Genomic DNA, 27,796 nt, shown 5'->3' on the forward strand with positions numbered 1-27,796 from the left:
GGTGGCTCACGCCTGTAATCCCAGCACTTTGGGAGGCTGAGGCGGGCAGATCACGAGGTCAAGAGATTGAGACTATCCTGGCCAACATGGTGAAACCCCATCCCTACTAAAAATACAAAAATTAGCTGGGCGTGGTGGTGCATACCTGTAATCCCAGCTACTTGGGAGGCTGAGGCATGAGAATCGCTTGAACCTGGGAGGCGGAGGTTGCAGTGAGCAGAGATTGCACCGCTGCACTCCAACCTGGCGACGGAGCGAGACTCTATCTCAAAAAAGTAAATAAATAAATAATAAAGATTAGCTGGGCGTGGTGGCGGGCACCTGTAATCCCAGCTATTTGGGAAAGTGAGGCAGGAGAATCGCCTGAACCCAGGAGGCAGAGGTTGTAACGAGTCCAGCCTGAGTGACAGAGCAAGACTTTGTCTCAAAAAACCCAAAATAATAATAATAGTAATAATAATCCCATCTGCAGAGTCCCTTTTGCCATACAAAGTGGCCTGTCCACAGGCTCCGAGGGGTAGGACGAGGACGTCTTTGGGGCCACCATGCTGCTGACCCCAGTGCTCAGTACTGTCCCCTCTTCTCCCCAGGGCGGAGCAGCTGGCCAGCCTGGAAGCTGCCCAGAGGGCCGTGGGAGTCGGGCCCGGCTCCTCCGCGGGCTCCAATGCTCGGGCCGAGTTCTGGCGGCTGCGGGGTCTTCGTCGAGGAGCCAAGAAGACCACTCAGCGGAGCCGTGAGGACCTCTCAGCTCTGACCCGACAGGGCCGCTACCCGCCCTACGAACGAGTGGTGTTGCGAGAAGGTGGGGCCCGGAGCTGGAGGGGCCCTGGGGAGGCCTCACACACAGCTCCTGGTGCACCTGTTCACTAACATTCAGCCTCTAAAAGGCACAGTCTTGGCCCGGCGTGGTGGCTCACGCCTATAATCCCAACACTTTGGGAGGCCGAGGTAGGAGGATCGCTGAGGCCAGGAGTTCCAGATCAACCTGGGCGGTAAAGCAAGACTACATCTCTACCTCAAATTTATTTATTTATTTATTTTTGTTTTTATTTTTATTTTTAGACAGAGTCTTGCTCTGTCTTAGGCTGGAGTGCAATAGCGTGATCTGAGCTCACTGCAACCCCTGCCTCCCTGATTCAAGCGATTCTCTTGCCTCAGCCTCCCAAGTAACCGGGATTACAGGCGCCCATCACCCCGCCCCCAGCTAATTTTTGTATTTTTAGTAAAGACGGGGTTTCACCATGTTGGCCAGGCTGGTCTTGAACTCGTGACCTCACGATCCACCCGCTTCAGCCTCCCAAAATGCTGAGATTACAGGCGTGAGCCACCACGCCCGGCCTCTACATCAAATTTAAAAAGATAGCTGGGCATGGTGGTGCATACCTATAGTCCCCGCTGCTTGGGAAGCTGAGGCAGGAAGATTGCTTGAGCTTGGGAGGTCGAGGTTGCAGTGAGCTATGATCGCACCAGCCTGGCCCACATGGTGAAATCCCATCTCTACTAAAAGTACAAAAAATTAGCTGGGCATGGTGGCAGGCGCCTGTAATCCCAGCTACTTGGGAGGCTGAGGCAGGAGAATCACTTGAACCCGGGAGGCAGAGGTTGCAGTGAGCTATGATCGCACCACTGCACTCCACCCTGGGCCACAGATTGACACTGTCTTCAAAAGAAAAAAAAAAAAAAGCATGTTTCTAACCACTCTCCTTCTATCAAAAATACTTTTGGGCCTGGGTGCGGTGGCTCACGCCCGTAATCTCAATGGTTTGGGAGGCTGAGGCAGGTGGATCACCTGAGGTCAGGAGCTCTAGACCAGCCTGGCCCACATGGTGAAATCCCATCTCTACTAAAAGTACAAAAAATTAGCTGGGCATGGTGGCAGGTGCCTATAATCCCAGCTACTTGGGAGGCTGAGGCAGGAGAATCACTTGAACCCGGGAGGCAGAGGTTGCAGTGAGCGGAGATCACACCACTGCACTCCAGCCTGGGCAACAAGAGCAAAACTCCGTCTCAAAAAAAACAAAAAAACAAAAAAATTTTGGGTTATTTTAGGGGACAGAAGGACAGGAAGGGGGTTCATTCCTTAAAAATCTATTTGTGTCTCCAACAGAAATATGGTGCAAGGCATGTAGATAGCCTTACAAAAGGAAAAAGAAATAGCAATAATAATAATTTTAATAATTTATCTTCTTTGACCGGGCGTGGTGGCTCACGCTTGTAATCCCAGCACTTTGGGAGGCCAAGATGGGTGGGTCACTTGAGCCCAGGAGTCTGGGACCAGCCTGGACAGCAAAGTGAGACTCTGTCTCTACAAAATAAAAAATAAATTAGCCAGGTGTGGTGGTACGCCAGTAGTCCCAGCTACTTGGCAGGCTGAGGTGGGAGGATCCCTTGAGCCCAGGAGGTCGAGGCTGCGGAGAGCTATGATCATGCTGCTGCACTCTAGCCTGGGCAACAAAGCCAGACTCTGGGGGGAAAAATGCCTCATCCTGATTTCAGGAAGGGAAGAGATTAAGCTCTTATCAGAGGACAGGGGGTTAAAAACCCAGGTGCAGCGATTTTCCAAATAAAACCACAAAAGGGGTGGGAAGAGCAAATTGCCCGGGACAGGGGTGGGTGGATGGACCTTGAGAAAAGCCTTTGACACTGTCATCGCGCTGCTCCAACATCCAGATGAAAACGTCCTAGAAATACAAGGCCACGGCCAGGCGTGGTGGCTCACGCCTGTAATCCCAGCACTTTGGGAGGCCGAGGTGTAATCCCAGCACTTTGGGAGGTGGGTGGATCACCTGAGTTCGGGAGTTCGAGACCAGCCTGGCCAACGTGGTGAAACCCCGTCTCTACTGAAAATACAAAAATTAGCCGGGCGTGGTGGTGGGCGCCTCTAATCCCAGCTACTCAGGAAGCTGAGGCAGGAGAATCACTTGGACCTGGGAGATGGAGGTTGCAGTGAGCCAAGATTAAGCCACTGCACCGCCAGCCTCGGTGACACAGCAAGACTCTGTCTCAAAAAAATAAGTAAATAGGCCACGTGCGGTGGCTCACGCCTGTAATCCCAGCACTTTGGGAGGCCGAGGCGGGCGGATCACGAGGTCAGGAGTTCGAGATCAGCTTGACCAACATGGTGAAACCCAGTTTCTACTAAAAATACAAAAATTAGCCAGGCATGGTGGCGCACGCCTGTAATCCCAGCTACTCAGGAGGCTAAGGCAGGAGAACTGCATGAACCTGGAAGGTGAAGGTTGCAGTGAGCCAAGATTGCGCCACTGCACTCCAGCCTGGGCCACAGAGCTAGACTCCATCTCAAAAAAAAAAGTAAATAAAATAAAAGAAAGAAAGGGAGAAAGAGAAGGATTAAGTTGCAAAGACCCTGGGCTACCACTTTTCTCCCCTCAAGACGCTTCTGTGACTGTTTCTTCAGTGGTAAAATGGTGTATCTGGTAGGCCAGGTGTCAACATACTTTTCCTGCAAAGGATCACATAGTAACTATTTTAGGCTTTGTGGGCTAGTCTCTGGCAGAACTACTCAGCTCTGCTCAAAGGTAGCCATAGACAGGACATAAAGAAATGGTTGTGACTGTGTTTTGATAAAACTTTATTGACGAACACATGCAGTGGGCCAGATGTGGCCCTCAGGTTGTAGTCTGCTGACCTATGAGTTAGCTAGGTTCAACTGCTAAAAAGAGACCCTACAGCCAGGAAGAAAGGGAATGAAGGCAGGAGAGGGGCTTATTCCTGCCCTTGAAGGCGGAACCCAGAAATGTACACATCAATTCTGCTAGTGTTCCATTGGCCATTATTTGGTCATAAGGCTAACCTAGCTGCAAAGGACACTGGGAGATGTAGTATTTGGCTGGGTAGCTATGGTCCTGGTTAAATAGGCTGTTTACTATAAGGAAGTGGAGGGGTTTGTACAACACACTAGCAGTCTTTGATCGCAAATGGGACCCTGATTCTTTCACTGTGTCTCTACCCCTCAGCCAGTTTCAAGCGCCCGGTAGTGATCCTGGGACCCGTGGCCGACATTGCTATGCAGAAGTTGACTGCTGAGATGCCTGACCAGTTTGAAATCGCAGGTGAGAAGCCAGATCCTCTGGAAACCTCGTTGGTGAAATAGTTTCACAACTGTTTTTTTGTGGGGGGTCGGGGGAGAGTTAGAATAATGATGGCAAACATGAAGCAGATGGGCCACCAGTGCCCCCCCCAATACCCAAGCCAGACATCCTCAATCCATCTTGGCACCGTTTGTCTGGATAGAACCTCCAAATCCTTCTTAACACAGTTCACCAGGTAGCCATTGCCAATTGAGGCAAAGTGCCACCTGTTATTTGTTTAAGAGAAATTTATTGATCTTCTGAGACAGCAGTGAACACGACAGGCAAGGTCCCTTGGAGAAGACTCCAAATTAACAACTGTAGAAACAATGGCCGGGTGCGGTGGCTCATGCCTGTAATCCCAGCACTTTGGGAGTCCGAGGCGGGTGGATCACGAGGTCAAGAGATTGAGACCATCCTGGCTAACATGGTGAAACCCCGTCTCTACTAAAAATACAAAAATTAGCTAGGTGTGGTGGCGCGTACCTGTAGTCCCAGCTACTCGGGAGGCTGAGGCAGGAGAATTGCTTGAACCCGTGAGGCAGAGGTTGCAGTGAGCCGAGGTCATGCCACTGCACTCCAGCCTGACGACGGAATGAGACTCTGTCAAAAAAAAAAAAAACAAAAACAATTAAGATAGACTAGGAGGCCGGGCGCAGTGGTCAGGAGTTCGAGACCAGCCTGGCCAACATGGTGAAACCACATCTCTACTAAAAACACAAAAAATTAGCTGGACATGGTGGCGCATGCCTGTAATCCCAGCTACTCAGGAAGCTGAGGCAGGAGAATTGCTTGATCCCAGGAGGCGGAGGGTGCAGTGAGCAGAGATCACGCCACTGCGCTCCAGCCTGGGTGACAGAGGGAGACCCTGTCTCGAAATAAAAAACAAAAAATAGTTAAGATTGCAAATTTTGGCTGGGTGTGGTGGCTCACATGTAAAATCTCAGCACTTTGAGAGGCCAAGGTGTGAGGATGACTTGAGCCTAGGAGTTTGAGACCAGCCTGGGCAACACAGCAAAATCACGTTTCTATAAAAGAAAAAAGAATTTTTTTAATTAAAAAAAGATGCAAATTTTATGTCTTTTTTTTTTTTTTTTTTTTTTTTTTTTTTGCATCAGAGTCTTGCTCTGTTGCCCAGGCTGGAGTACAGTGGCAGGATCTCGACTCACCGCAACCTCTGCCTCCCAGGTTCAAGTGATCCTCCTGCCTTAGCCACCCTGGTAGCTGGGATTACAGGCACGCGCCACCATGCCCGGCTAATTTTTGTATTTTTAGTGGAGACAGGTTTCGCCGTTTGGCCAGGCTGGTCTCAAACTTCTGACCTCAGGTGATCTACCTGCCTCAGCCTCCCAAAGTGCTGGGACTACAGGCATGAGCCACTGTGCCCGGCCAATTTTACGTTTTTAACCACAAAAACAAAAAGGGGGGATGAGATCACGTCTCCCTCCTTGAACCCCTCCATGCCAGGCTATGTCTCCTTCCTGAAACTTTGCACGATCCAGGAGGGCTTCCTGGAGGAAGCAGTGCTCCTCTCAGGTCCTAGAAGACAGATAGGGGCAAGAGTGGAGTTTCCTGTGGGGTCGTAGCCTGAGCAGAGCCCTGGAGTTGGAACTGAGTCTGGGAGAGCCAGGGGCTGCAGCTCAGGCTCAGCATCAGGCCTCTGACCCTGCAACCCTGAGCAAGTGGCCTGTTGTCTCTGAGCCTCAGTTTCCCCACCTGCCACATAGGCCAGTACCAGCCACCCACTCCTCAGGAGGAGGAGGGGGCTGAGGTCAGGAGGGGATGTGAGTGCAGTGCCTGGCACTTGGCCAACATGAGTTTCTGCTGCTGTTAGGATTTCTCTCCAGGGCAATGGGGAGCCATGGTGGCTTCTTGAGCAGGGGAGGGGCAGGTAGGCATGAATTTGAGGGGACGGGGGCTGCCCTCCTGAAGCTGCTGGTCCTCTCTGCCGTCCACAGAGACTGTGTCCAGGACCGACAGCCCCTCCAAGATCATCAAACTAGACACCGTGCGGGTGATTGCAGAAAAAGTAAGCCGGGTCCTGCTACGGGTCCCATTTCATGGATGGGGGAAACCGAGGCCTGGGCATCCAACTGAATGTCCTGACCTGTTCTCAGCCCACACCCCACAAGTGCAGTCTTCCATAGAGCCCCTTTTGGAGGCTTTGTGAGGCAGGAGGCCCGAGACAGACAAGGGCTTCTCGGAGTCAAACAGCAGCCAGCCCTGGGCAAAGGCAGAGAGACTCAAGTTGAGGTTTTGATGCCCAAGATGCTGCGACCTGGGCTGTTACCACCCCCATCCCCAACTTGCTAGCCTGTGGATGTGAGAGGCTGGGGTCCACTCTGACCTCAGACTCTTCATCTTTCTATCTTTCTCTCTCTGTTTACCCTGCTGCAATCCCCCTCACCCCAACGTCCGCCGGCCTGGCCCAGGACAAGCATGCGCTCCTGGATGTGACCCCCTCCGCCATCGAGCGCCTCAACTATGTGCAGTACTACCCCATTGTGGTCTTCTTCATCCCCGAGAGCCGGCCGGCCCTCAAGGCACTGCGCCAGTGGCTGGCGCCTGCCTCCCGCCGCAGCACCCGTCGCCTCTACGCACAAGCCCAGAAGCTGCGAAAACACAGCAGCCACCTCTTCACAGGTTGGGGGGTGGGTGTCCCAGGGTAGGCGGGTGGGCCCCAGCCTGAGTCTCCTGCACACACTGACGTCCCCTCCCTGCAGCCACCATCCCTCTGAATGGCACGAGTGACACCTGGTACCAGGAGCTCAAGGCCATCATTCGAGAGCAGCAGACGCGGCCCATCTGGACGGCGGAAGATCAGGTACTGCCGCGGTGTGGGTGGGTCGGGCAGGGAGGCCCCACAGACGCTGTGCAGGCCCAGCTGGGGTTTGGGGCCTCTGTCGGGAGTTAGGGCTTGGTCAGGGATCAGGACTGTGGCCAGAGTCAAGATGGGACCTGAGACAAGGGTGTTGGACTGGAACTTGGGTGAGATGAGATTGGAGGAGCTGTTTTTTGTTGTTTGATTTGAGATGGAGTCTCATGTCACCCAGGCTGGAGTACAGTGGTGTGATCTCAGCTTGCTGCAACCTCCGCCTCCCGGGTTCAAGTGATTCTCCTGCCTCAGCCTCCCGAGTAGCTGGGACTACAGGCGAGCGCTACCAGGCCCAGCTAATTTTTGTATTTTTAGCAGAGACGAGGTTTCACCATGTTGGCCAGGCTGGGCTCAAACTCCTGACCTCAGGCGATCCACCTGCCTCAGCTTCCCAAAGTGCTGGGATTACAGGCCTGAGCCACCGCGCCCAGCCTGGAGGAGCTGTTTTGAGAATGGAGTCAGTGGGGCACGGGAGCTCACGCCCATGGTCCCAGCTACTCAGGAGGCTGAGGCAGGAGAATCACTTGAACCCGGGAGGCAGAGGTTGCAGTGAGCAGAGATTGCGCCACAGCACTCCAGCCTGGCAACAGAGACTCCTTCTCATAAAAAAGAGAGAGAGAATGGAGTCTTCTCTTGGGGCTGGAGTCAAGGTTTGGGGCTCAGCTTGGATTTGGGGGCTGAGCCTCTCAGGTGAAGGGTCAATGGATACAACCCATCCTGGAGTCAACAGAGAAGCCTCCACTGAGGCTCCAGGCTCCAGGCTCCTCGCCTTGATTTGGGACCAGAGTTTGAAGGTGGGGGGATGTCGTGGGTGGCAGCTGGGGTCCTGGCCAGGGCCAGCCGCAGCATCCACACCCACCCCACAGCTGGATGGCTCCTTGGAGGACAACCTAGACCTCCCTCACCACGGCCTGGCCGACAGCTCCGCTGACCTCAGCTGCGACAGCCGCGTTAACAGCGACTACGAGACGGACGGCGAGGGCGGCGCGTACACGGATGGCGAGGGCTACACAGACGGCGAGGGGGGGCCCTACACGGATGTGGATGATGAGCCCCCGGCTCCAGCCCTGGCCCGGTCCTCGGAGCCCGTGCAGGCAGATGAGTCCCAGAGCCCGAGGGATCGTGGGAGAATCTCGGCTCATCAGGGGGCCCAGGTGCGTCGGACATGGGGGGCAGGCCTGGGAAGGGTCTCCGGAGGGGATGCCAGCACAGAGCAGACACACACTGGGAGCCTGTTTTCTACCAGGACGTCAACAAACACGGCTTCCCTGGTCAGACTGGTTTCTGGGACTCAGACCTGGGGTAGCTGAGACCCACGTGGCACTGAGTAACTTGCAGCATTTTTTTTTTTTTTTTTTTTTTGAGACGCAGTCTTGCTCTGTCGCCTAGGCTGGAGTGCAATGGCGCAATCTTGGCTCACTGCAACCTCCACCTCCCAGGTTCAAGCGATTCTCCTGCCTCAGCCTCCTGAGTAGTTGGGATTACAGGCACCTGCCACCATGCCCGGCTAATTTTTGTATTTTTAGTAGAGACGGGGTTTCACCATTGGTCAGGCTGGTCTTGAACTCCTGACCTTGTAATCCACCCGCCTTGGCCTCCCAAAGTGCTGGGATTACAGGCATGAGCCACTGCACCCAGGCTTTTTTTTTTTTTTTTTTGAGATGGAGTTTCGCTTTTGTTGCCCAGGCTGGAGTGCGATGGCGTGATCTCGGCTCACCACAACCTCCGCCTCCCAGGTTCAAACGATTCTCCTGTCTCAGCCTCCTGAGTAGCTAGGATTACAGGCGTGCACCACCATGCCTGGCTGATTTTGTATTTTTAGTACAGACAGGGTTTCTCCATGTTGGTCAGGCTGGTCTGGAACTCCAGCCTCGGCCTCCCAAAGTGCTGGGATTACAGGTGTGAGCCACTGCACCCGGCCTTTTTTTTTTTTTTTTTTTTTTTTTTTTGAGTTAGAGTCTCGCTCTGTCACCCAGGCTGGAGTGCAGTGGCACGATCTGGGCTCACTGCAACCTCGGCCTCCTGTGTTCAAGCGTTTCTCCTCCCTCAGACTCCCAGGTAGCTGGGATTACAGGTGAGCACCACCATGCCCAGCTAATTTTTTTTTTTTTTTAAGGTATTCTTAGTAGAGACAGGGTTTCACCACGCTGGCCAGGCTGGTCTCCGATTCCTGACCTCAGGTGATCCACGTCGGCCTCTCAGAGTGTTGGGATTAGAGGCGTGAGCCACCGCACCTGGCCTCCAGCCAACATTTTAACCTCTCTGTGCACCTGTTTCCTCATCTAGGACACAGGGTGGATGGTATCAGACTTGGTGGCACAGGGCGGTGGTGAGCACTCAATGTGCTCAGCCCAAGTTTTGGCACATAGTAGTTGCGTGTCTTTTTGAACTTGACCTATCTAATTTATATATTTTATTTTTTAAATTTTAGAGATAGGGTCTTGCCCTGCTGCCCAGGCTGGAGTGCAGTAGTACAATCATAGTTCGTTGCGGCCTCCAACTCCTGAGCTAAAGGGAGCCTCTCATCTCAGCCTCCGGAGTAGCTGGGACCACAGGCGCGCACCACCACCCACACCCAGCTAATTTTTTTTCATTTTTTGCAGAGATGTGGTCTTGCTATGTTGCCCAGGCTGGTCTCTAACTCCTGGGCTCAAGTGATCCTCCTGCCTTGGCATCTCAAAGTGCTGGGAGTACAGGCGTGAACCACAGCGCCCAGCTGTAGTTGGGTGTTTAACAGTAACAAATGTGTATGTAGCTCTTAGTGTATATGCCTCAGCATCTTCTTCCACACCCTCTCTAGGTCAATGTAAAAATCTATGAATCAATGACATCTCTGATTAGAGTGATTTTCCTGGGGTTGTGCAGTACCCAACCTGCTCAACTGTCCATGGCAGGCTGCATACGGAGCAGCCACTGTACTAAGTCCTTTACGTACATGAACTCATGGCTGTGGCCCTGTGAGGACTTGCACAGATGAGAAACCCAATTCCCCTTTTGCTGACAGGCTAGGAGGTCTCAGCTAAGGCCTTCCCCTATCCCAGCCTCAGTTTTCTCATTTAGATTTGGGGATGACCTGCAGACTTGTCACGGGGTTAGCAAGTGGGCAGCATGGCCCGGGCCAAGGTGGGGGATGGGATGGAGGTGGTTATTGATCTCGACTCACCATGCTCTGGGGGGAGTTTTGAAGCTCCTCTCTCCCTCTCCTCCAAGGTGGACAGCCGCCACCCCCAGGGACAGTGGCGACAGGACAGCATGCGGTAAGAACCCCATATTCCAGATTGGGGCCCTCAACCCTTCCCTTGGGACTCAGACTCTGCGGACTCAGATCTAGATCCAAGCTATGCCTTCATGGTGCCCCTAGCCTAGTGGGGAAGACAGAGCCTGCCAGAGCCTCTCTAAGCCCCATATAATCAGGGCCAAGGGAGTAGGAATCCACTTCCTGGGAGGCCTAGGAAGGCTTCTTGAAGGGCAGGATATTGCAGCTGGGGCTTTGAGGGATGCATAGGAGTTTGTTAACAAGGCCCTACCCATGAATGCCCAGATGTGCTTATCTCTGCCCACACCCACTGTGCCTAGCACAGCCAGCCTCAGTTTATGGTGAGAAAGCTCACACCCTTCCCACCCACAGCATCTATTCTATTTCCTGATCCCCAGAACCTATGAACGGGAAGCCCTGAAGAAAAAGTTTATGCGAGTACATGATGCGGAGTCCTCCGATGAAGACGGCTATGACTGGGGTCCGGCCACTGACCTGTGACCTCTCGAAGGCTGCCAGCTGGTCCGTCCTCCTTCTCCCTCCCTGGGGCTGGGACTCAGTTTCCCATACAGAACCCACAACCTTACCTCCCTCCGCCTGGTCTTTAATAAACAGAGTATTTTCACAGCACCGGCTTCTAGTGGCTTCCAGGAAGGACAAGGTCCTCGGTCCCGTAGACCCTGATCCGAGACTTTGCCAAATGCATAAGCTTTTACTGTTTTTATATTAGGAAATCATACAGGACCAAGAACCGCTGGGGTCCTGGCCAGCCAGGGCAGGCCCAGGATGGGGCTCCGGGGCCATGGAGGCGAAGGCACAGTGGCAGGCAAGGGATGAGGTGGTCACAGGTACACGGGCTGCTCCTGGCCTGTAAGGAGGCGATATGTGGCAGCTGGCATCGTCTTGATATGCACCTGGGGAGTGGAGGCGGAACGGGGCTCAGGGCAGGCCTGGGCTCGTGGGGGACGTGGGGGCGCCCCTGGCCACCACCCACCACCCGCACACCTCGCCATAGGCCTCGGTGAGCAGCTCGATGATGCGGGCGTGTGGCGTGGCCACCACACTCTGCCCATTGATCTCAATGATGCGGTGGCCGACGCGGATGCCCCCACGCTCGGCGATGCCACCACGGAGGAGGCTGCAGATCTGGGGGAGAAAAGAGGGGGACGGGAAAGAGGTGGGGGCTGCTCAGGGGCCGTGCTCAGGGCCGCCCTACCCCCCCACCCCGGGGCCAGGGGCCGGGGCCTCACGATGCCGTCCTCCACGCAGAAGCCCAGCTGCTCGCGGGCGTGGGGCCGGTGGATGATGGCGGTGGTGACGGGAGGGCAGTGGACGATGCTGAGTGTCACCGACGTCTGCGACTTCGTCTCCTGTGGGGCGGGGGCCGTTGGCCTCACTCAGCTGCCGGACAGCCTGGCAGGTTGTAGCCCCCTCTGGGCCTCAGTTTACCCTCTCATAAACCAGAGACCTGGAGTCCAGGGGCTCAATTCTGGAAGACCCCCTCAGATGTGATAGAGAACAGACTCGGGCCCGGTGGGCATGGGGTCGAAGCTGTCTGACCCGAGCCATATCGCTTCCTTATGGCCAAAAGCCAAGCCGACAGCCGGGCTCTCCAGGCAGGCTGCAAACATCTGTAAGAGGCTGCACGGACTGTGGCCTCATTCCTCTGACGGGGGCAGGTCCCTCCCTATCTCTGGGCCTCAGTTTCCCCATCTGAGCAACAAAGGTTGAGACTCAAAAACATGGCCAGGTGCAGTGGCTCACACCTGTAATCCCAGCACTGTGGGAGGCCGAGGCAGGTGGATCACTTGAGGCCAGGAGCTCAAGACCAGCCTGGCCAACCAACATAGTGAGACTCCATCTCTACAAAAAATAAAACAATAAACTGGGCGTGGTGGTGCACACCTGTGGTCCCAGCTACTCGGGAGGCTGAGGAAGGAGATTTGCTTGAGCCCAGAAGGTCAAGGCTGCAATGAGCCAGGTGCACCGCTGCACTCCAGCCTGGGCAAGAGTGAGACCTTGTCTCAAACAAACAAACCCCCCCAGAAATTAGCTGTTTCTTGTTAGAGAGAGAGAGTGGCCCAGCCCTGGAGCTGGGCCACCCGCATTTCCATCCTGGCTCTGGTACTAGGGAGGTGCCCTGGACAAGTGGCCTCCCTTCTCCAGGCCTCAGTTTCCCCAAGGGCACACCAGTGGGCAGGACTTAAAAGTTCGACTTTGTCCCTCCTGGCTGGGCTGGAGAGACCTGGCCAGGGAGGAGACCTCTCTGGGACTCAGCTCCCCTTCCTGGGAGTGTGGGGGCCCTGCCACACCAGGAAACTCACGCGGACAGCGGCCTGGCACGCAGCCAGGGGCAGCCCCACCAGGCTGGTCCCGTTGATGGCGGTCAGGCGGTCCCCGATGCTGAGGGCCCCCGAGCGCTCAGCAGGCCCCCCGTGCAGCAGGTTGGCGATGACGGCTGTGGGCAGCAGGGAGCCCCAGCCCGACTCCACCAGGGCCACGCCCAGGCCCTCCCCTCGCCGCTTCTCGAGGTGCACCTGGGACACACAGGGGGCGCGGAGGCTGCTCAGCAGGGCCCGGTGCAGGTGCACGGGTGTGGGGGGCACCAGGTGGGGGCTGCCCAGCACCTCACTCACCTCCCGGCAGTTGTCACTGTTGGAGAAGTGGTCCAGGTCCCCATTATGGAGGTGGCAGGCGCCTGGGCTCGGGTGCACGCCCACCTGGCTGGGGTCAATACCGCTTTCCCGTAGGAACTGGCTGTAGGCGGCGGCGAAGGCCTGGCCAATGGCCTGGGCGATGAGCTGGGCCTGCGGGGAGGAGTGGCGCGTCCCTGGGGTGTCCCACCCACCTCCTCCAGGTCCCCAAAGTCCCCAGGGTCCTCAGAGCTGAGCCCTCCTGTCCCCACCTGGGGTGAGAGTCCCAGGACACAGCCTTCTGCCCTGGGGCTTTGGGGGAGGTGGAGAGACAGCCGCATCTTGGGGAATCTACGGGGAGAAGGAAGGGGAGGGGCAGCCCTGGGCTGGGGGGACGATGAGGGAGGCAGCTCCCTGCGCATGGGCTGTGGGAAAAGCTATCAAAGACCCAGCCAGGGGGCCTGGGGCCTCATGGGTGGCAGGGACAGCCCAGGAGCGGGCAAGGTTTCGGGGAGTCGGCCGAGAGTCTTGGAGTCTTATAGGAGGCTGGACGCGGTGGCTCACGCCTGTAATTGCAGCACTTTGGGAGGCTGAGGTGGGTGGATCGCTTGAGCCCAGGAGTTTGAGACCGTGTTCACCTGGGCAACAGAGCGAGACCGTGTCTCTATAAAAAATACAAAAATTAGCCAGGCATGGTGATACCCCGGTGGTCCCAGCTACTAGAGAGGCTGAAGTGGGAGGATCGCTTGAGCCTGGAAGGTTGAGGCTGCAGTGAACTATGATTGCGCCACTGCACTCCAGCCTGGGTGACAGAAGGAGACCTTGTCCCAAAAAAAGAATTTAAAAATAAGCTTATGGGAGGGAGGTTAAATGCACGGCCCACTGAGGGAGGCGACAGTTGCAGTGAGGAGGGCCTCAGGAGGGTGGCCCCGCGCCCTGGCTGCTCACGTCCTCCGCGTAGAATACGTGGCAGAGCATCTTGTAGAGGCGGCGGCCGTGGTCCTGGGGTGCCGGCCTCCGTGCCAGCCGCCGCCGCGCCATCAGCACCAGCACGCAGCCGATGTCGGCTGTGTAGGAGATGGTATGCAGGGCGTGGTCCATCATGGCCTCCTGGGGCGGGAGAGGCAGCCTGGGTGGGTTGGGGGGCCGTGCCAGGCTCGATCACCCCACCCGCATCCCTGGGGCGGGTCCCTGCCCCGTACCTGGGAGTCCGCTGTCAAGACCTTGATCCTCTTGGTGGAGACGAACAGGTCCACCTCCGTCATGGGCTGGGTCTCCCCATCGGGGGCCTGTGGGTGGCGGCGTGGGAGGTGGAGGCCCCCACAGACCCAGCCTGCAGCCCACCCGCCTGCCCGCCCGGCCCCGGCCGCCCCCTCACCTTGACGCGGTCCATGGCCTCCCGGGCCTGGGCCATGCGCGTGCTGGTGGGCGGGTTCCGTTCCGACACCAGCTGGGTGGACCCCAGGTACCTGGCCCCAAATATGACACCGTCCAGGAGGTCTTCATGGTCACAGGGACCAGGCACTGAGGGCGACAGCGAAGAGGGTCGGCCCCCAGGGGCCCACTCCCACAGGCTCTGCCCCAGGGCTACGCTCTCCGAGATGGCCGGGAGACACAGTGTTCTAGCTGGTGGCTTAGCACTCTCCAGCCAGGAAGCACAGCCCACTGTTCTAGAACCATCCAAGCAGCCTGGCCCTCACAGGTCTAGAACCTTCTGTCCATCCCTCAAGGACTCGCAGGTGGGAAACCAGTGAGTCCAGGCCATGGCTGGATTCAAAGCCAGATCTAGCACCCACAGATACCTTCACCCCGTGTCCCCAGAATTCCATGATCAGGCCGGAACCAGACAGTCCCACTCCTGCTTTTTTGAGACACGGTCTCGCTCTGTCGCCCAGGCTGGAGCTCGGTGGTGTGATCTCAGCTCACTGCAACCTCCGCTTCCTGGGTTCAAACGATTCTCCTGCCTCAGTCTCATGAGTAGCTGGGATTACAGGCGCCCACCACCACGCCTGGCTAGTTTTTGTATTTTTAGTAGAGACGGGGTTTCGCCACGTTGGCCAGGCTGGTCTCAAACTCCCGACCTCAAGTGATCCACCCGCCTTGGCCTCCTAAAGTACTGGGATGACAGGCGTGAGCCACGACGCTCCACCCCCCACTCCAATTTCGAAACCTCCACAACATTCTAGAACCACAGTGGACCCCTGCTTCTTGGTTCTGGAATTCCCTCCATCAATCTAGAACTGGCCAGCTCTGCCCACTGTTCTAGAACCGTCTGCAGTCAGCCCAGGATAGCAGGCAGCTCTGTTCCCGGGTTGTAGAACCACTCAGAACAGAGACAGACCCTGCTGCCTGTCTAAAATTCCCATACTCTCCAGAACCCCAGCTGGTTCTGACCCTTGATTCCAGAACTCTCTGACAGGTCTCATAGCAATTCTGTCAGGAGTTTTAGAATCTTATTATCACTCTAGAATCAGACTTCTCTGCTCCGTGATTCCAGAACATCTTAATCACAATCGCGTCAGGCAGCTCTTCCTGTGGTTCTAGAATCTCCTTCAGTAGTTCACACCTTTGGCTACACCAGGGATTCTAAGAATTACCTGACCAGTCAAGGAACAAACAATTCTGTTCCAGGAGAATTCTAGACAGTTCCAGAATACTCCCAACCCAGCCCAGAACTACATAAAGCTTTACTCCTGGCTGGGTGCGGTGGCTCACGTCTGTAACCCCAGCACTTTAGGAGGCCGGGGGGGGGGGGTGGATCACCTGAGGTCAGGAGTTCGAGACCTGCCTGGCCAACATGGCGAAACCCCGTCTCTACTAAAAATACAAAATTAGCTGGGCGTGGTGGCGCGTGCCTATAATCCCAGCTACTTGAAAGCTGAGGCGGGAGAATCACTTGAACCCAGGAGGTGGAGGTTGCAGTGAGCCGAGAGAGATCGCACCACTGCACACCAGCCTGGGTGACAGAGCAAGATTCCATCTCCAAAAACAAAAAGGAAAAAAAAAAAAAAGCTTTACTCTCATGGTTCTAGAATTCCCTGAGCTACCCAGAGCCAGACAGCTCTGCCAGTGGCCCTAGAACATTCTAACCAGTAACTACGGCTCTTTGGTTTAGAACCACGGGTGTAGGGCCCCGTTCTGGACACCACTAAGTGAAATTCACCCTACACCACAGTCGGTTCTGCCCACTATCCTTCAGGATCTAAGCATTCTGGAACAAGAGCTCCACTCTGGGGTTCTAGAGAGATACGTCATTCACTGTGGTAGCCACCAGGCACATGTATCTATCACAGACTTGAAATGTGGCTCGACTGAATAGAGATGTAAATAGAAAATACACACTAGATATTGAAGATTTGGTATGAAAAAAAGTAATTTAAGGTCAGGCATGGTGGTTCACGCCTGTAATCCCAGCACTTTGGGAGGCAGAGGCGGGCGGATCACCTGAGGTCAGGAGTTTGAGACCAGCCTGGCCAACATGGTGAAACCCCGTCTCTACTAAAAATACCAAAATTAGCTGGGCATGGTGGCAGGCGCCTGTAATCCCAGCTACTCGGGAGGCTAAGGAAGGAGAATCACTTGAACCCAGGAGGCAGAGGTTGCAGTGAGCCAAGATTGCGCCATTGCACTCCAGCCTGGGCAACAAGGTGAGACTGTGTCTCAAAAAAATAAAAAAGTAAATTAAAAATATTGATTGTATGTTGAAATAATATTTTAAATATGTTAGCTTAATTAAAATGTTATTAAAGTTAATTTCTTAGCCAGGTATGGTGGCGTATGCCTATAGTTCCAGTTACTCAGGAGGCTGAGGCGAGAGAATCGCTTGAAGCTGGGAGGCGGAGGTTGCGGTGAGCTGAGATCGTGCCACTGCACTGCAGCCTGGGCGACAGAGCGAGACTCCGTCTCAGTTTAAAAAAAAAAAAAGTTATTTCACCTGTTTTTAATTTTTTAACGTGGATAACTACAAAATTTTAAATCACATATGGCTCACGTTGTATTTCTATTGTAGTTCCATCTAGAACTTTCTGATTACACTATAATTGGACAGCTCTGCCCAGGGTTATAGAACACTAGATAACTATTCCCTCCATGGTTCTAGAATTCTCCAGTCTGAGTAGAACCAGATGCCTCTGTTCACCAATTCTGAGCATTCTCATCAGCCCAGATTCCTTTACCCTAGAAACAGACAAAATGCCAAGCCCTGGAACTCCCTAGGTGTCACAGCTCTGCTCGATTCTAGAACCTTCTTAGAGCTATAGGTTCAAACCAGTTTTTCTCTCTGCAACCACAGAACTGTTTTTTTTTTTCTTTTTTTTGAGACATGGTCTCACTGTCACCCAGGCTGGAGTGCAGTGGCACAATCTTAGCTCACTGCAGCCTCAAGTGATCCTCCCACCTCAGCCTCCCAAGTAGCTGGGATTATAGACCCATGCCACGTGCCTGGCTAATTTTGGGGGGGGATTTTATTTTTGTGGAGACAGGGTTTTGCTGTGTGGCCCAGGCTGGTCTCGAACTCCTGGGCTCAAGCGATCCTCCCACATCAGCCTTTCAAAGTGTTGGGATTACAGATGTGAGCCACCCTTCCCGGCCAGAACTTACTATCTGACCTATATCCTTAGCGAAGTGTAGAACAGAGGCTGGCCGCGGTGGCTCACACCTGTAATCCCAGCATTTTGGGAGGCCGAGGCGGGTGGATCACAAGGTCAGGAGTTTGAGACCAGCCTGACCAAGACGGTGAAACGCCGTCTCTACTAAAAATATAAAAATTAGCTGGGCACGGTGGCGGACGCTTGTAATCTCAGCTACTCAGGAGGCTGAAGCAGGAGAATCACTTGAATCCGGGCGGCAGAGGTTGAAGTGAGCTGAGATTGCACCACTGAAAAAAAAAGTCTAGAACATTCCAGAGGGCCAGAAATTGTTCTTCCCATGCTTTTAGGGCAGGGCTTGGCAAACATTTTCTGTAAAGGGCCAAAGAGTAAATATTTTCAGCCTTGTAGGTCACAAGGTATCTGCTGCAGCTACTCACCTCTGCCATTCGAACATCAGAGCAGCCATGGACAACACATGAATAACCAAGCATGATGTGTACCAATAAAACTTTATTTATGTACACTGAAATTTGTTTTTCTTTTTTTAGAGACAGAGTCTCACTCTATTGCCCAGGCTGGAGTGCAATGGCGTGATCTCAGCTCACCGCAACCTCCGCCTCCCGGGTTCATGTGATTCTCCTGCCTCAGCCTCCTGAGTAGCTGGGATTACAGGCGTGCACTACCATGCCCGGCTAATTTTTGTATGTTTAGTAGAGACGGGGTTTCACCAATGTTGGCCAGGCTGGTCTCGAACTCCTGACCTAGTGATCTGCCCACCTTGGCCTCCCAAAGTGCTGGGATTATAGGCGTGAGCCACCGCGCCCAGCTTATGCACACTGAAATTTGAATTGCATTTTTTTATTTTTGAGACAGAGTCTCGCTCTGTTGCCTAGGCTGTAGTGCAGTGGCGTGGGGTGATCTCAGCTCACCGCAGTCTCGACCTCCTGGGCTCAAGAACTTCTCCCGCCTCAACCTCCTGAGTAGCTGGGACTACAGGCATGCACCGCCACACCTGGCTAACTTTAAACATTTTTTGTAGAGATGGGGTCTTGCTACGTTGCCCAGGCTGGTCTCCAACTCCCGGCTCAAGCGATCCTCCTGCCTCAGCCTCCCAAAGAGCTGGGATTACACGTGTGAGCCACCATATCCAGCCTAGCATATCATTTTCACATGTCAAGAAATAGTATTCTTTGGCCAGGCGTGGTGGCTCACGCTTGTAATCCTAGCACTTTAGGAGGCCAAGGCGGGCGGATCACAAGGTCAGGAGTTCAACACCAGCCTGGCCAACACAGTGAAACCCCATCTCTACTAAAAATACAAAAATTAGCTGGGCGTGGTGGCGAGCACCTGTAATCCCAGCTACTTGGGAGGCTGAGGCAGGAGAATCACTTGAACCCGGGAGGCGGAAGTTGCAGTGAGCCGGGATCACGCCACTGCACTCCAAGCCTGGGTGACAGACTCTGTCTCAAAAAGAAAGAAAGAAATAGTATTCTTCTTTCAATGAAAAAAAAAGTCAATTAAAAATGCAAAGGACACCCGGGCATGGTGGCTCACGCCTGTAATCTCAGTACTCTGGGAGGCTGAGGCAGGCAGATCGCTTGAGCTCAGGAGTTTGAAACCAGCTTGGGCAACATGGTGAAACCCCATCTCTACCCAAATAAATACGAAATAAAATTAGCTGGGCGTGGTGGCACGCACCTGTAGTCTCAGCTATTTGGGAAACTGAGGTGGGAGGATCGCTTGAACCTGGGAGATGGAGGTTGCAGTGAGCTGAGATCAAGCCACTGCACTCCAGCCTGGATAACAGAAGTCATCAAAAAAAGTAAAGAAGCCCCAAACGCAAAAACCATCTTTAACTCGAGACCTACGTGAGCAGGCAGTGAGTTGGGTCTGGCCCGACGACGATGATTTGCCAAGCCCGGTTCTAGAACCCAGTGCTGCCAATGGCCGGAGCTGCCCCACAGTCCCCTTCTCACTCTACCCCGTTCTCAAGGCTGGCTCTCCTCTCCCTGGCCAGCCGGAATCTGCTCGAAACCACCCTCAGAGGCTCCCGAGAACCTCGTCCTTACTGGCAAGCTGTTGCCAGGCTGGTGAGCCTGATTCTGGCTGTCTAGGGGCCTTCAGTGCCTGAGGCTAGGGTGGGCGGGACACTCACCCTCCTGGGGGGCAGGGTAGGAAGCCAGGGTCTCGGGGCTCTGGAAGAAGATAGAGGAGGGGCAGGACTGAGTCTCCCTGCTTGGTTCCAGGCAGTCCAGGATGCCTGGAGGGCGGGGCGGGCACTACCTGGGCACCAGCGGGTGGCTCTTCAGGTGTGACTAGAGGCACCGTCTCCAGCCAGGGTTCCGGGGAACTGCTTGAGCTCCTGCTGCCCTCCTGCTCAGCAGAGGCCCCCTCCACCCATTCTGGGGAGTCAGAATCCTCATCTGGGTCCTCAGGGGGCTGCAACAGTCGGGGGGCAGGCTCTAGAGGCTCTTCAGGACCAGTCTGGGAAGGCGGGCATTCCTCGCAGTGCAAGAGGCCCAGCAGGTCATCCCGGCCAGCTTCGGCAGACAGGAGCCCGTGGGCATCAGCAATCTCCTGGGAGGCCAGGCCATGGCCTGTGGCAATGTGTAGGGGACAGGGGGCTCCACCTGGGGATGGGCCCACCAGATCGCCTGGCAGAGCTTCAAACTGCTGCACCAGCTCCTGAAGGCTTGACTCATCAAGTTCCATCCGACTGAGGCTGCCGGGGCCTCCTGGCATAGGGTCCCACTGGCTGTCAGGGGTGAGGTCCTCCGAAGGCACAAGAATGTCCCTGGGCCCCTCCAAGTCCATGGCTGGAGGCCCCGAAGGGGATCGGGAAATTGTGGGGAAGTCCATGCCTGGACTCCAGGCTTAGGCCGGCATCTTCAGGCAGCTGAAAGAGAGAGAGTCAGCACTGAGGTTTCGCCCGGGTGCAGTGGCTCATGCCTGTAATCCCAGAATTTTGGGAGGCCCAGAAGGGCTGACTGAACCCAGGAGTTCAAGATCAGCCTGGGCAACAGAGCAAGACCCTCTCTCTACAAAAAATACAAAAAATTAAGGCCGGGCACAGTGGCTCACGCCTGTAATTCCCAGCACTTTGTGAGGCCGAGGCGGGCAGATCATGGGGTCAGGAGTTTGAGACCAGCCTGACTAACATGGTGAAATTCCGTCTCTACTAAAAATACAAAAAATTAGCCAGGTGTGGTGGCAGGCACCTGTAATCCCAGCTACGCAAGAGGCTGAGGCAGGAGAATCGCCTGAACCCGGGAGGCGGAGGTTGCAGTGAGCTGAGATCGCGCCATTGCACTCCAAGGTGGGCGACAGACGAGACTATCTCCAAAAAAAAAAAAAAAAACTAGCTAGGGGTGGTGGTGTAGGCTGTAGTCCCAGCTACTTGGGAGGCTGAGGTGGGAGGATCACCTGAACCAGGGGAGGCAGAGGCTGCAGTGAGCCTTGATTGTGCCACTGCACTCCAGCCTGGGTGACAGAGTGAGGCCCTGTCTTAAAAAAAACAAACAAACCCGAAAAACAAAAAACTTGAGGTTTCCCGGCTGCCTATCCGGTGCTAGGCTCTAGCTGGGTACTGTTCATACAGGGCACATAATTTAATACCCACTAACCCTTGCAAGGAAGTTAGGATTCCCATTTTACAGATGAAGAAACTGAGCCACAGAATGGGGAGGTGTGAGGCAGTGGCTTCCCGAGCCCCTGTGTCATCCCAGACCTCTCTCAACTAATGGAGTCTGTTCACTCCAGCCCTGGTTCTTCCAGGTCCTCCTCCCTCAAGACGCGGAACCCAGGCTGGAGACCCAGACCTCACACCCTGACTCTACCGACTGGTCAGAGGCAGTTCCCCAAGACCCCAGACCCAAGACCCCAGTCCCATGACCTCAACCCCCAATACCTCCATCCAGAACTTTAGACCCAGGACCCTGGACTTAATACCAGAGACCCAAGACGCCATAAGGCGGACCCCAGTCTCCAAACCTCCAATGCTACCCCAAGATCGACTCCAGACTCAGACCCCGACTTCAGGACCCAGCCCCAAGCCCAGACCCTAGTCCCCCCTCAGACCGAAGACCTCAAGCGCCGACTCAGACTGCGCTCTGCACCTCGAGGACACTCACTTCCCAAATCGAGGCCGCCTCAGCCCCGCGCAGCCTCCAGGACCCCGCTCCCCACGGACGGCCCCGACGTAGCCCGGGCCGCGTCCCCAGAAGGCGCAGCTCGGGGATTCCCGGTCCCGGCGCCCGCTCCTCTATCCGCGCAGAGCCCTGGCCCATTGAGCATGCGCGGCCTCGCGAGGCCTGCTGGGAAATGTAGTTCTCCCACCCAGCCTCGCCACGCGGGGGCGCTGGGACAACTGCAGATGTTGGAGGGGAGTTCGAATCCCAGGCTTCCCGGCCCGCAGACTGCCCCGGCTGGCCCCAGGACCTGTTTGTTCTCCTGCAAAATAGGGTTAATAATCACTGCCTGGCTCTGGGGGCTGTGTTCATTATTCCAAAGGATGGCAGATGGGGAGAAGTGGGGTTGGGAAATATTAAAGAAGTGTGAGAGGTGGTTTCCTTGGGACCTTGAGGCACCGGAAGCGTCGTGGAGACCCTGTTAAAGACGGACTTTCGGTTTGGCTCACAGTAGGGAGACACATAGGTGCACCATGGATTTGGGGTCGGCCTGGGAACTTTACCTCCCTGAGAACTCAGTTTCCTCATTATAAGCTGGGGAAAAAATAGTACCTACCTCTCAATTGTGAGGATTAAATTAGATCAAGCGGGTTAAGGATTTAGCAGTAGTAGAGCTGGAAAAGAATATATAAAATATATATTATTAATTTATATATTATATATAAAACATACTATATATTATATGTATTATATATGTTATATATAATTTTAAAAATATAATGTTATAAAAATTAACAGTGATTAGACTCCAGCCCTACTGGAGTATATTAGACTCATTGTTAATCTTCTTTTTTTAACTTTAAAGCTTTGAATAATTACTCATTGGATGGAATCAGGAACATATAAAGTGTGATATTTTTAGTAAATGTTATGTAATTGAAGAAGGGCAAGAAGTCAATGAAATATCCCTTGAACGCCTCCTCCTATAGTAACTGTGTATGTCTACAAAAGTCTGAAGAAATCACCATAGATTATGAAAGCTTGGGAGACCGCATTTCCCAGACACCTCCACGGGGCCTACACTTCCACGGGGCCTACAACTCCCAAACACCCTTGGGCCACTGACGTCTTCCGGAAACGTGCACTTGCAAGCTGCCCGCAATACGTCATGGCGACCAAACGCCTTTTCGGGGCTACCCGGACGTGGGCCGGCTGGGGGGCCTGGGAGCTCCTAAACCCCGCCACTTCCGGAAGACTCCTGGCCCGGGATTATGCCAAGAAACCAGGTGAGCTGGGTTAAGAGGAACCAAATGGGGACGGTGGGTGCACTGAGGAATTGACAGTGCGCAGGCGGTGGTTGGGGAGGTGGTGCTAGAACTGATGCGCAAGCGCAGAGAGGCGGATGCCAGGCTGTATGCGCAGGCGCAGTTTGAGGGACCCAGCGCCGCTTGGAGCTCGGGCGTCTGGCTCGGAGATACTGTAGCGATTGGACCCAGGGCGCAGGCGCCAGCTTGGGGCGGAGCGGCCTGGGAGGAGGATGTGGTTACGTGGAGACCACGCGTTTCACTGCGCAGGCGCGGGTTGGAAAGGATTTGAAGGGAGTCTGGGGAGGTCATGAACTTGGGTTCCAGTTCTGTTTCTCTGCCTGCCTCCAAATCGCTGGGTAACCTTGGCCAAGACGTTACCAAACATTCAAAGAAATTATGGAGCCCGTTTAATTGGCCACTTCAGCAAGAACAAAACAAGGTTATTAAGGTTTAGCTGGATACAGCCTTGCCTGATCTCCTTTGTTGAAAGGGGGAAATTGTCCAATGTTCGGCCTTAAAGACAGACACATAGCAGACAAAATATAACTTGAATGACTTGGTCATTCCAAGCATCGGTGTTACTTAATGCTATGTCCAAATCCCACTTAAAGTTACTTAATGCTGTGTCCAAATCCCACTTAAAGTGATTTCGAGGCCAGGCATGATGGCTCACACCTTTATTCCCGGCACTTTGGGAAGCCAAGGAGGGAGGATCGATTGCTTGAACCCAGGAGTTCGAGACCAGCCTGGGCAACATAGCAGGACCCTGTTTGTATAAAAAAAAAAAAAAATTGCCTGGCGCGGTAGCTCACGCCTGTAATCCCAGCACTTTGGGAGGCTGATGCAGGTGGATCACAAGGTCAGGAATTCAAGATCAGCCTGACCAACATGGTGAAACCCTAGCTCTACTAAAAATACAAAAATTAGTGGGGCATGGTGGCACATGTCTGTAATCCCAGCTACTCAGGAGGCTGAGGCAGGAGAACTGCTTGAACCCAGGAGGCGGAGGTTGCAGTGAGCCGAGATCACGCCACTGCACTCCAGCCTGGGCGACACAGTGAGACTCTGTCTCAAAATAAATAAATAAATAAATAAAAATAAAAATAAGCGGGGCATGGTGGCTCACAACTGTGATCTCAGCTACTTGGGAGGCTGAGGCAGAAGGATCACTTGAGCCTGGGAGTTTGAGGCTGCAGTGAGCCATGATTGTGCCCCTGCCCTCCAGCCTGGGCTTTTATTTTTTATTTTTTTATTTTCTTCAGACGGAGTCTCGCTCTGTCGCCCAGGCTGGAGTGTGCAGTGGCGCAATCTTGGCTCACTGCAAGCTCCGCCTCCTGGGTTCACGCCATTCTCCTGCCTCAGCCTCCCAAGTAGCTGGGACCACAGGTGCCCACCACCATGCCCGGCTAATGTTTTTGTATTTTTAGTAGAGATGGAATTTCACCATGTTAGCCAGGATGGTCTCAACCTCCTGACCTCGTGATCCGCCCACCTTGGCCTCCCAAAGAGCTGGGATTACAGGCGTGAGCCGCCGCGCCCGGCCGGGCTGTCTTTATTTTTTAATTTTTTAGATTTTTTATTTTTTTGAGATGGAATCTTGCTCTGTAACCTAGGCTGGAGTGCAGCGATGCGATCTCAGCTCACTGCAACCTCCGCCTCCCGGGTTCAAGTGATTCTCCTGCCTCAGCCTCCCGAGTAGCTGGGATCACAGGCATATGCCACCATGCCCAGCTAATTTTTTTTTTTGTATTTTTAGTAGAGACAAGTTTTCACCATGTTGGCCAGGCTGGTCTTAAACTCACCTGACCTCAGGTGATCTTCCCACCTCGGCCTCCCAGAGTGCTGGGATTACAGGCATGAGCCACTATGCCTGGCTGAGACCCTGTCTTTAAAAAAAAGTTTTGAGTGGCCGGGCGCGGTGGCTCACGCCTGTAATCCCAACACTTTGGGAGGCCAAGGTGGGCAGATCACGAGGTCAGGAGATCGAGACCATCCTGGCTAACACGGTGAAACCCCGTCTCTACTAAAAATACAAAAAATTAGCTGGGCGTGGTGGTGGGCGCCTGTAGTCCCAGCTACTTGGGAGGCTGAGGCAGGAGAATGGCTTGAACCCGGGAGGCGGAGCTTGCAGTGAGCTGAGACTGCGCCACTGCACTCCACCTGGGCAACAGAGCGAGACTCCGTCTCAAAAAAAAAAAAAAAGAAAGTTTTGAGTGTAGCAGAGTCCAGCCAGGGGCAGAGGCCACCTGAGACAGGGTTCTGTGAGAGAAGTTTGGCTTCCAGAGGAGGGGCTGGGCTGAAATGACTCTCCCTCTCGTCTCCCCAGTTATGAAGGGGGCCAAATCGGGAAAAGGTGCAGTGACCAGCGAGGCCCTCAAGGACCCCGACGTATGCACAGATCCTGTCCAGCTCACCACATATGCCATGGGCGTCAACATCTACAAGGAAGGGCAGGATGTACCCCTGAAACCGGATGCTGAGTACCCTGAATGGTGAGTAGGCCAGGCTGTGTCATCCTGCAATGACTATTCCTTCCTCCGCCCCAGGAGGACCCCTTCCCGGAGAGGCGGATCGCCACTCCAGCCGGAGCCTAATAGTCACACCTACCCATCCTGGCTTTAGGGCAGGGGGCTTCAGGGCTCTGCCCATCTGTAATGGGGTGATGGGACCCATCCCTCCCTCAGAGGGCTGTGAGGAATTCATGAGATTAGAACACATGTCAAGTACCTAAAACAATGCTTTATCTTAAGCAAATACTTAAAAAAAATTTTTTTTCAGGCTGGGCGCCGTGGCTCACACCTGTAATCCCAGCACTTTGGGAGGCAAGGCGTTTGGATCACCTGAGGTCAGGAGTTCGAGACCAGCCTGGCCAACATGGTGAAACCTCGTCTCTACTAAAAATATAAAAATTAGCCGGGTGTGGTGGCACATTCCTGTAGTCCCAGTTACTTGGGAGGCTGAGGCACGAGAATTGCTTGAGCCTGGGAGGCAGAGGTTGCAGTGAGCTGAGATCACGCCATTGTACTCCAGCCTGGGCAACAGAGTGAGACTTGGTCTCAAAAAAAAAAAAAAAAATTTTTTTTTTTCTTCTATATGGAGTCTTGCTCTGTCACCCAGTGTGGAATGCAGTCATGTGGTCTTGGCTCACTGCAACCTCTGCCTCCTGGGTTCAAGCGGTTCTCCTGCCTCAGCCTTCAGAGTAGCTGGGATTACAGGCATGCGCCACCATGCCTGGCTAATTTTTTTTTTTTTTTGAGATGGAGTTTTGCTCTTGTCGCCCAGGCTGGAGTGCAGTGGTGTGATCTTGGCTCACTGCAACCTCCACCTCCCAGTGTTCCAATGATTCTCCTGCCTCAGCCTCCCGAGTAGCTGGGATTACAGGTGCCCGCCGTCACACCCAGCTAATTTTTGTATTTTTAGTAGAGACAGGGTTTCACCATGTTTGCCAGGCTAGTCTCGAACTCCTGATAACCTCGTGATCCGCCTGCCCTGGCCTCCCAAAGTGCTGGGATTACAGGCGTGAGCCACCACGCCTGGCCTAATTTTGTATTTTTAGTAGAGACAGGGTTTCTCCATGTTGGCCAGGCTGGTCTTGAACTCCTGACCTCAGGTGATCCGCCCACCTCGGCCTCCCAAAGTGCTGGGAGTACAGGCGTGAGCCGCCGCACCCGTCCTGCAAATACTTATTGACCACTGACTGCATGCCAGGCCCTGCTCTAGGCTTGAGGGATACAGAAGGGCTCAAAACAGACACAAGTCCCCACCCTGGCGGAGCTAGCTGGGGAGGCAGACAGGAAGGAGGAAGTCAGGCAGCTGTGGTGGTGACACTTCCAGGAAGGGGGCAGGAGAATGAGGGACAGAGCCGGGGTGTTTGGCTGCTCTAGTTTGAGGTTTGGGGGACACAGAAGCCAAGACGGGAGTGGGTGGAAGGGGCTTTCCAGGCAGTGGGCACAGCCTGTGCAAAGGCCCCGGGGCAGGACCGCACCTGGTGTGCTGGAGGAACAGCGGGGAGGCCTGTGTGGCTGGAGCACAGTGAGGAGGGCGAGAGAGGGAGGAGGTGAGGGCAGGACCTGTGGGCTGCAGGAAGGGTTCTGCTGTGGCCCCAAGCTGATCTGAAGGCTGGGGAGGGTCAGGAAGGCTGAGCAAGTGGGGGCAGGTGGCATGATGTGGACAGTGCTAGGAGGCAGGAGAGGGCTTGGCGTGTGCCAGCCTCAGATGTGCCACTGGGATGGGGTTGGCTCCATTGCTGCATGGCCAGGGACCCACCCAGCCCAGGGTCGGGGAGGGACCACCCTGAGATCATGCAGCCAACCAGTGGGCCTGGCACCCAGCCCCGTCGCCGCCTCTGCCCGAGGTGCCCGGGACACCAGGGAGCCCAGGGGTCACCGTGTAGCTCTGATTCCTGCCCGCACCCCCGTCAGGCTGTTCGAGATGAACTTGGGTCCCCCAAAGACCCTGGAGGAGCTGGACCCCGAGAGCCGGGAGTACTGGCGGCGGCTGCGGAAACAGAACATCTGGCGCCACAACCGGCTGAGCAAGAACAAGAGGTTGTAGCATGGAGGGCCCGGCATCGCTGACCCCCACGCCGAGGGCTTGCCGTTTTCCCGGAGGACGTGGACTTTTGTGAGACAAGAGGCGGCTCCCCAGCCTGGGTTTCCATGTGACCCCACAGTGGGGCTGGACCAGGGCCCTGGAGGCCAATAAAGAGCTTTCTGGGTAGACCCTATTTCCCCTTGGTATTGTCTGGTGTCGGCCTGGCGGGAAGTGGGTCCCTCAGACCCCAGGGATCCCAGCCTCCACCCCAGCCAGTGGTGGGCCGTCTGCAGGTCCCCTGTGCCTCCGGCCCTTGGTGGGCTTCTCTCCCCAACTCCTGGAATTCCTGACACTGCTCACGAGGCCCCGGCCCCAAATCTCAAGT

General features: G+C 54.7%; 3 protein-coding genes and 1 long non-coding RNA gene across 8 annotated transcripts in view, besides 2 other annotated features; 2 read left to right on the top strand and 2 right to left on the bottom strand.

Annotated features, from left to right (window-relative positions):
* TJP3 (tight junction protein 3) overlaps positions 1-10,852 on the top strand; it is a 42,430-nt gene extending 31,578 nt beyond the window's left edge. For all 3 annotated transcript variants that reach the window (NM_001267560.2, XM_047438611.1, NM_001267561.2), the window contains exons 14-21: positions 591-802; positions 3,978-4,073; positions 6,050-6,120; positions 6,524-6,734; positions 6,815-6,915; positions 7,833-8,120; positions 10,177-10,223; positions 10,621-10,852. In NM_001267560.2, the coding sequence (NP_001254489.1) occupies positions 591-802; positions 3,978-4,073; positions 6,050-6,120; positions 6,524-6,734; positions 6,815-6,915; positions 7,833-8,120; positions 10,177-10,223; positions 10,621-10,723 (1,129 nt within the window). In that variant the 3' untranslated portion in view covers positions 10,724-10,852. The remainder of the gene's footprint in view (positions 1-590; positions 803-3,977; positions 4,074-6,049; positions 6,121-6,523; positions 6,735-6,814; positions 6,916-7,832; positions 8,121-10,176; positions 10,224-10,620) is intronic.
* APBA3 (amyloid beta precursor protein binding family A member 3) lies at positions 10,811-21,731 on the bottom strand. Of its 3 annotated transcripts, NM_004886.4 has the most exons (11): positions 21,575-21,731; positions 19,728-20,340; positions 19,600-19,639; positions 14,234-14,379; positions 14,058-14,144; positions 13,804-13,965; positions 12,859-13,029; positions 12,547-12,759; positions 11,473-11,592; positions 11,228-11,368; positions 10,811-11,136 (listed from the first exon to the last, which is right to left on the bottom strand). In NM_004886.4, exons 2-11 carry the CDS (start codon positions 20,301-20,303, stop codon positions 11,065-11,067), a joined length of 1,728 nt encoding a protein of 575 aa, NP_004877.1. In that variant the 5' UTR covers positions 20,304-20,340; positions 21,575-21,731; the 3' UTR covers positions 10,811-11,064. The 3 variants fall into 3 exon arrangements, with proteins under 3 accessions (NP_004877.1, XP_006723013.1, XP_006723014.1); XM_006722950.5 differs by having other exon boundaries at positions 11,228-11,592; XM_006722951.4 differs by lacking the exons at positions 19,600-19,639; positions 21,575-21,731 and having other exon boundaries at positions 11,228-11,592; positions 19,728-19,814.
* Positions 21,616-21,933: a silencer, noted in NCBI's record as "fragment chr19:3761575-3761892 (GRCh37/hg19 assembly coordinates)". NCBI's record gives its function as "represses an EF-1alpha promoter that drives an FKBP-Casp9 reporter gene in an ReSE screen in HepG2 liver carcinoma cells {active_cell/tissue: HepG2}" and the evidence as "EXISTENCE:reporter gene assay evidence [ECO:0000049][PMID:32094911]".
* On the bottom strand, positions 21,793-22,679 carry LOC105372248 (uncharacterized). Its single transcript, XR_936268.1, has 3 exons — positions 22,597-22,679; positions 22,188-22,245; positions 21,793-21,893 (listed from the first exon to the last, which is right to left on the bottom strand). It is a non-coding gene; the product is annotated as an uncharacterized LOC105372248 (long non-coding RNA).
* Positions 22,595-23,084: an enhancer, noted in NCBI's record as "active region_13744". NCBI's record gives its function as "activates an Ori minimal core promoter by ATAC-STARR-seq in GM12878 lymphoblastoid cells {active_cell/tissue: GM12878}" and the evidence as "EXISTENCE:reporter gene assay evidence [ECO:0000049][PMID:35858748]".
* Positions 22,721-27,604, top strand: MRPL54 (mitochondrial ribosomal protein L54). The gene is made up of 3 exons (NM_172251.3): positions 22,721-22,857; positions 25,205-25,370; positions 27,300-27,604. The coding sequence occupies exons 1-3, from the start codon at positions 22,740-22,742 to the stop codon at positions 27,430-27,432; spliced, it is 417 nt and encodes a 138-aa protein (NP_758455.1). The 5' UTR covers positions 22,721-22,739; the 3' UTR covers positions 27,433-27,604.

Source organism: Homo sapiens, chromosome 19 (assembly GCF_000001405.40).
Source record: "Homo sapiens chromosome 19, GRCh38.p14 Primary Assembly".
Taxonomy (NCBI): domain Eukaryota; kingdom Metazoa; phylum Chordata; class Mammalia; order Primates; family Hominidae; genus Homo; species Homo sapiens.

Bases quoted from the DNA above. Each gene is read 5' to 3' on its own strand.
- APBA3 (XM_006722950.5), bottom strand. From the start codon at position 20,303: ATGGACTTCCCCACAATTTCCCGATCCCCTTCGGGGCCTCCAGCCATG. The intron at 14,380-19,599 runs GTGAGTGTCCCG...TGTCGCCCTCAG, and splicing joins CTACCCTGCCCCCCAGGAGG to TGCCTGGTCCCTGTGACCAT. The intron at 12,760-12,858 runs GTGAGTGAGGTG...TGTGTGTCCCAG, and splicing joins ACAGTGACAACTGCCGGGAG to GTGCACCTCGAGAAGCGGCG.
- MRPL54 (NM_172251.3), top strand. From the start codon at position 22,740: ATGGCGACCAAACGCCTTTTCGGGGCTACCCGGACGTGGGCCGGCTGG. The intron at 22,858-25,204 runs GTGAGCTGGGTT...TCGTCTCCCCAG, and splicing joins GGATTATGCCAAGAAACCAG to TTATGAAGGGGGCCAAATCG. The intron at 25,371-27,299 runs GTGAGTAGGCCA...CACCCCCGTCAG, and splicing joins GATGCTGAGTACCCTGAATG to GCTGTTCGAGATGAACTTGG.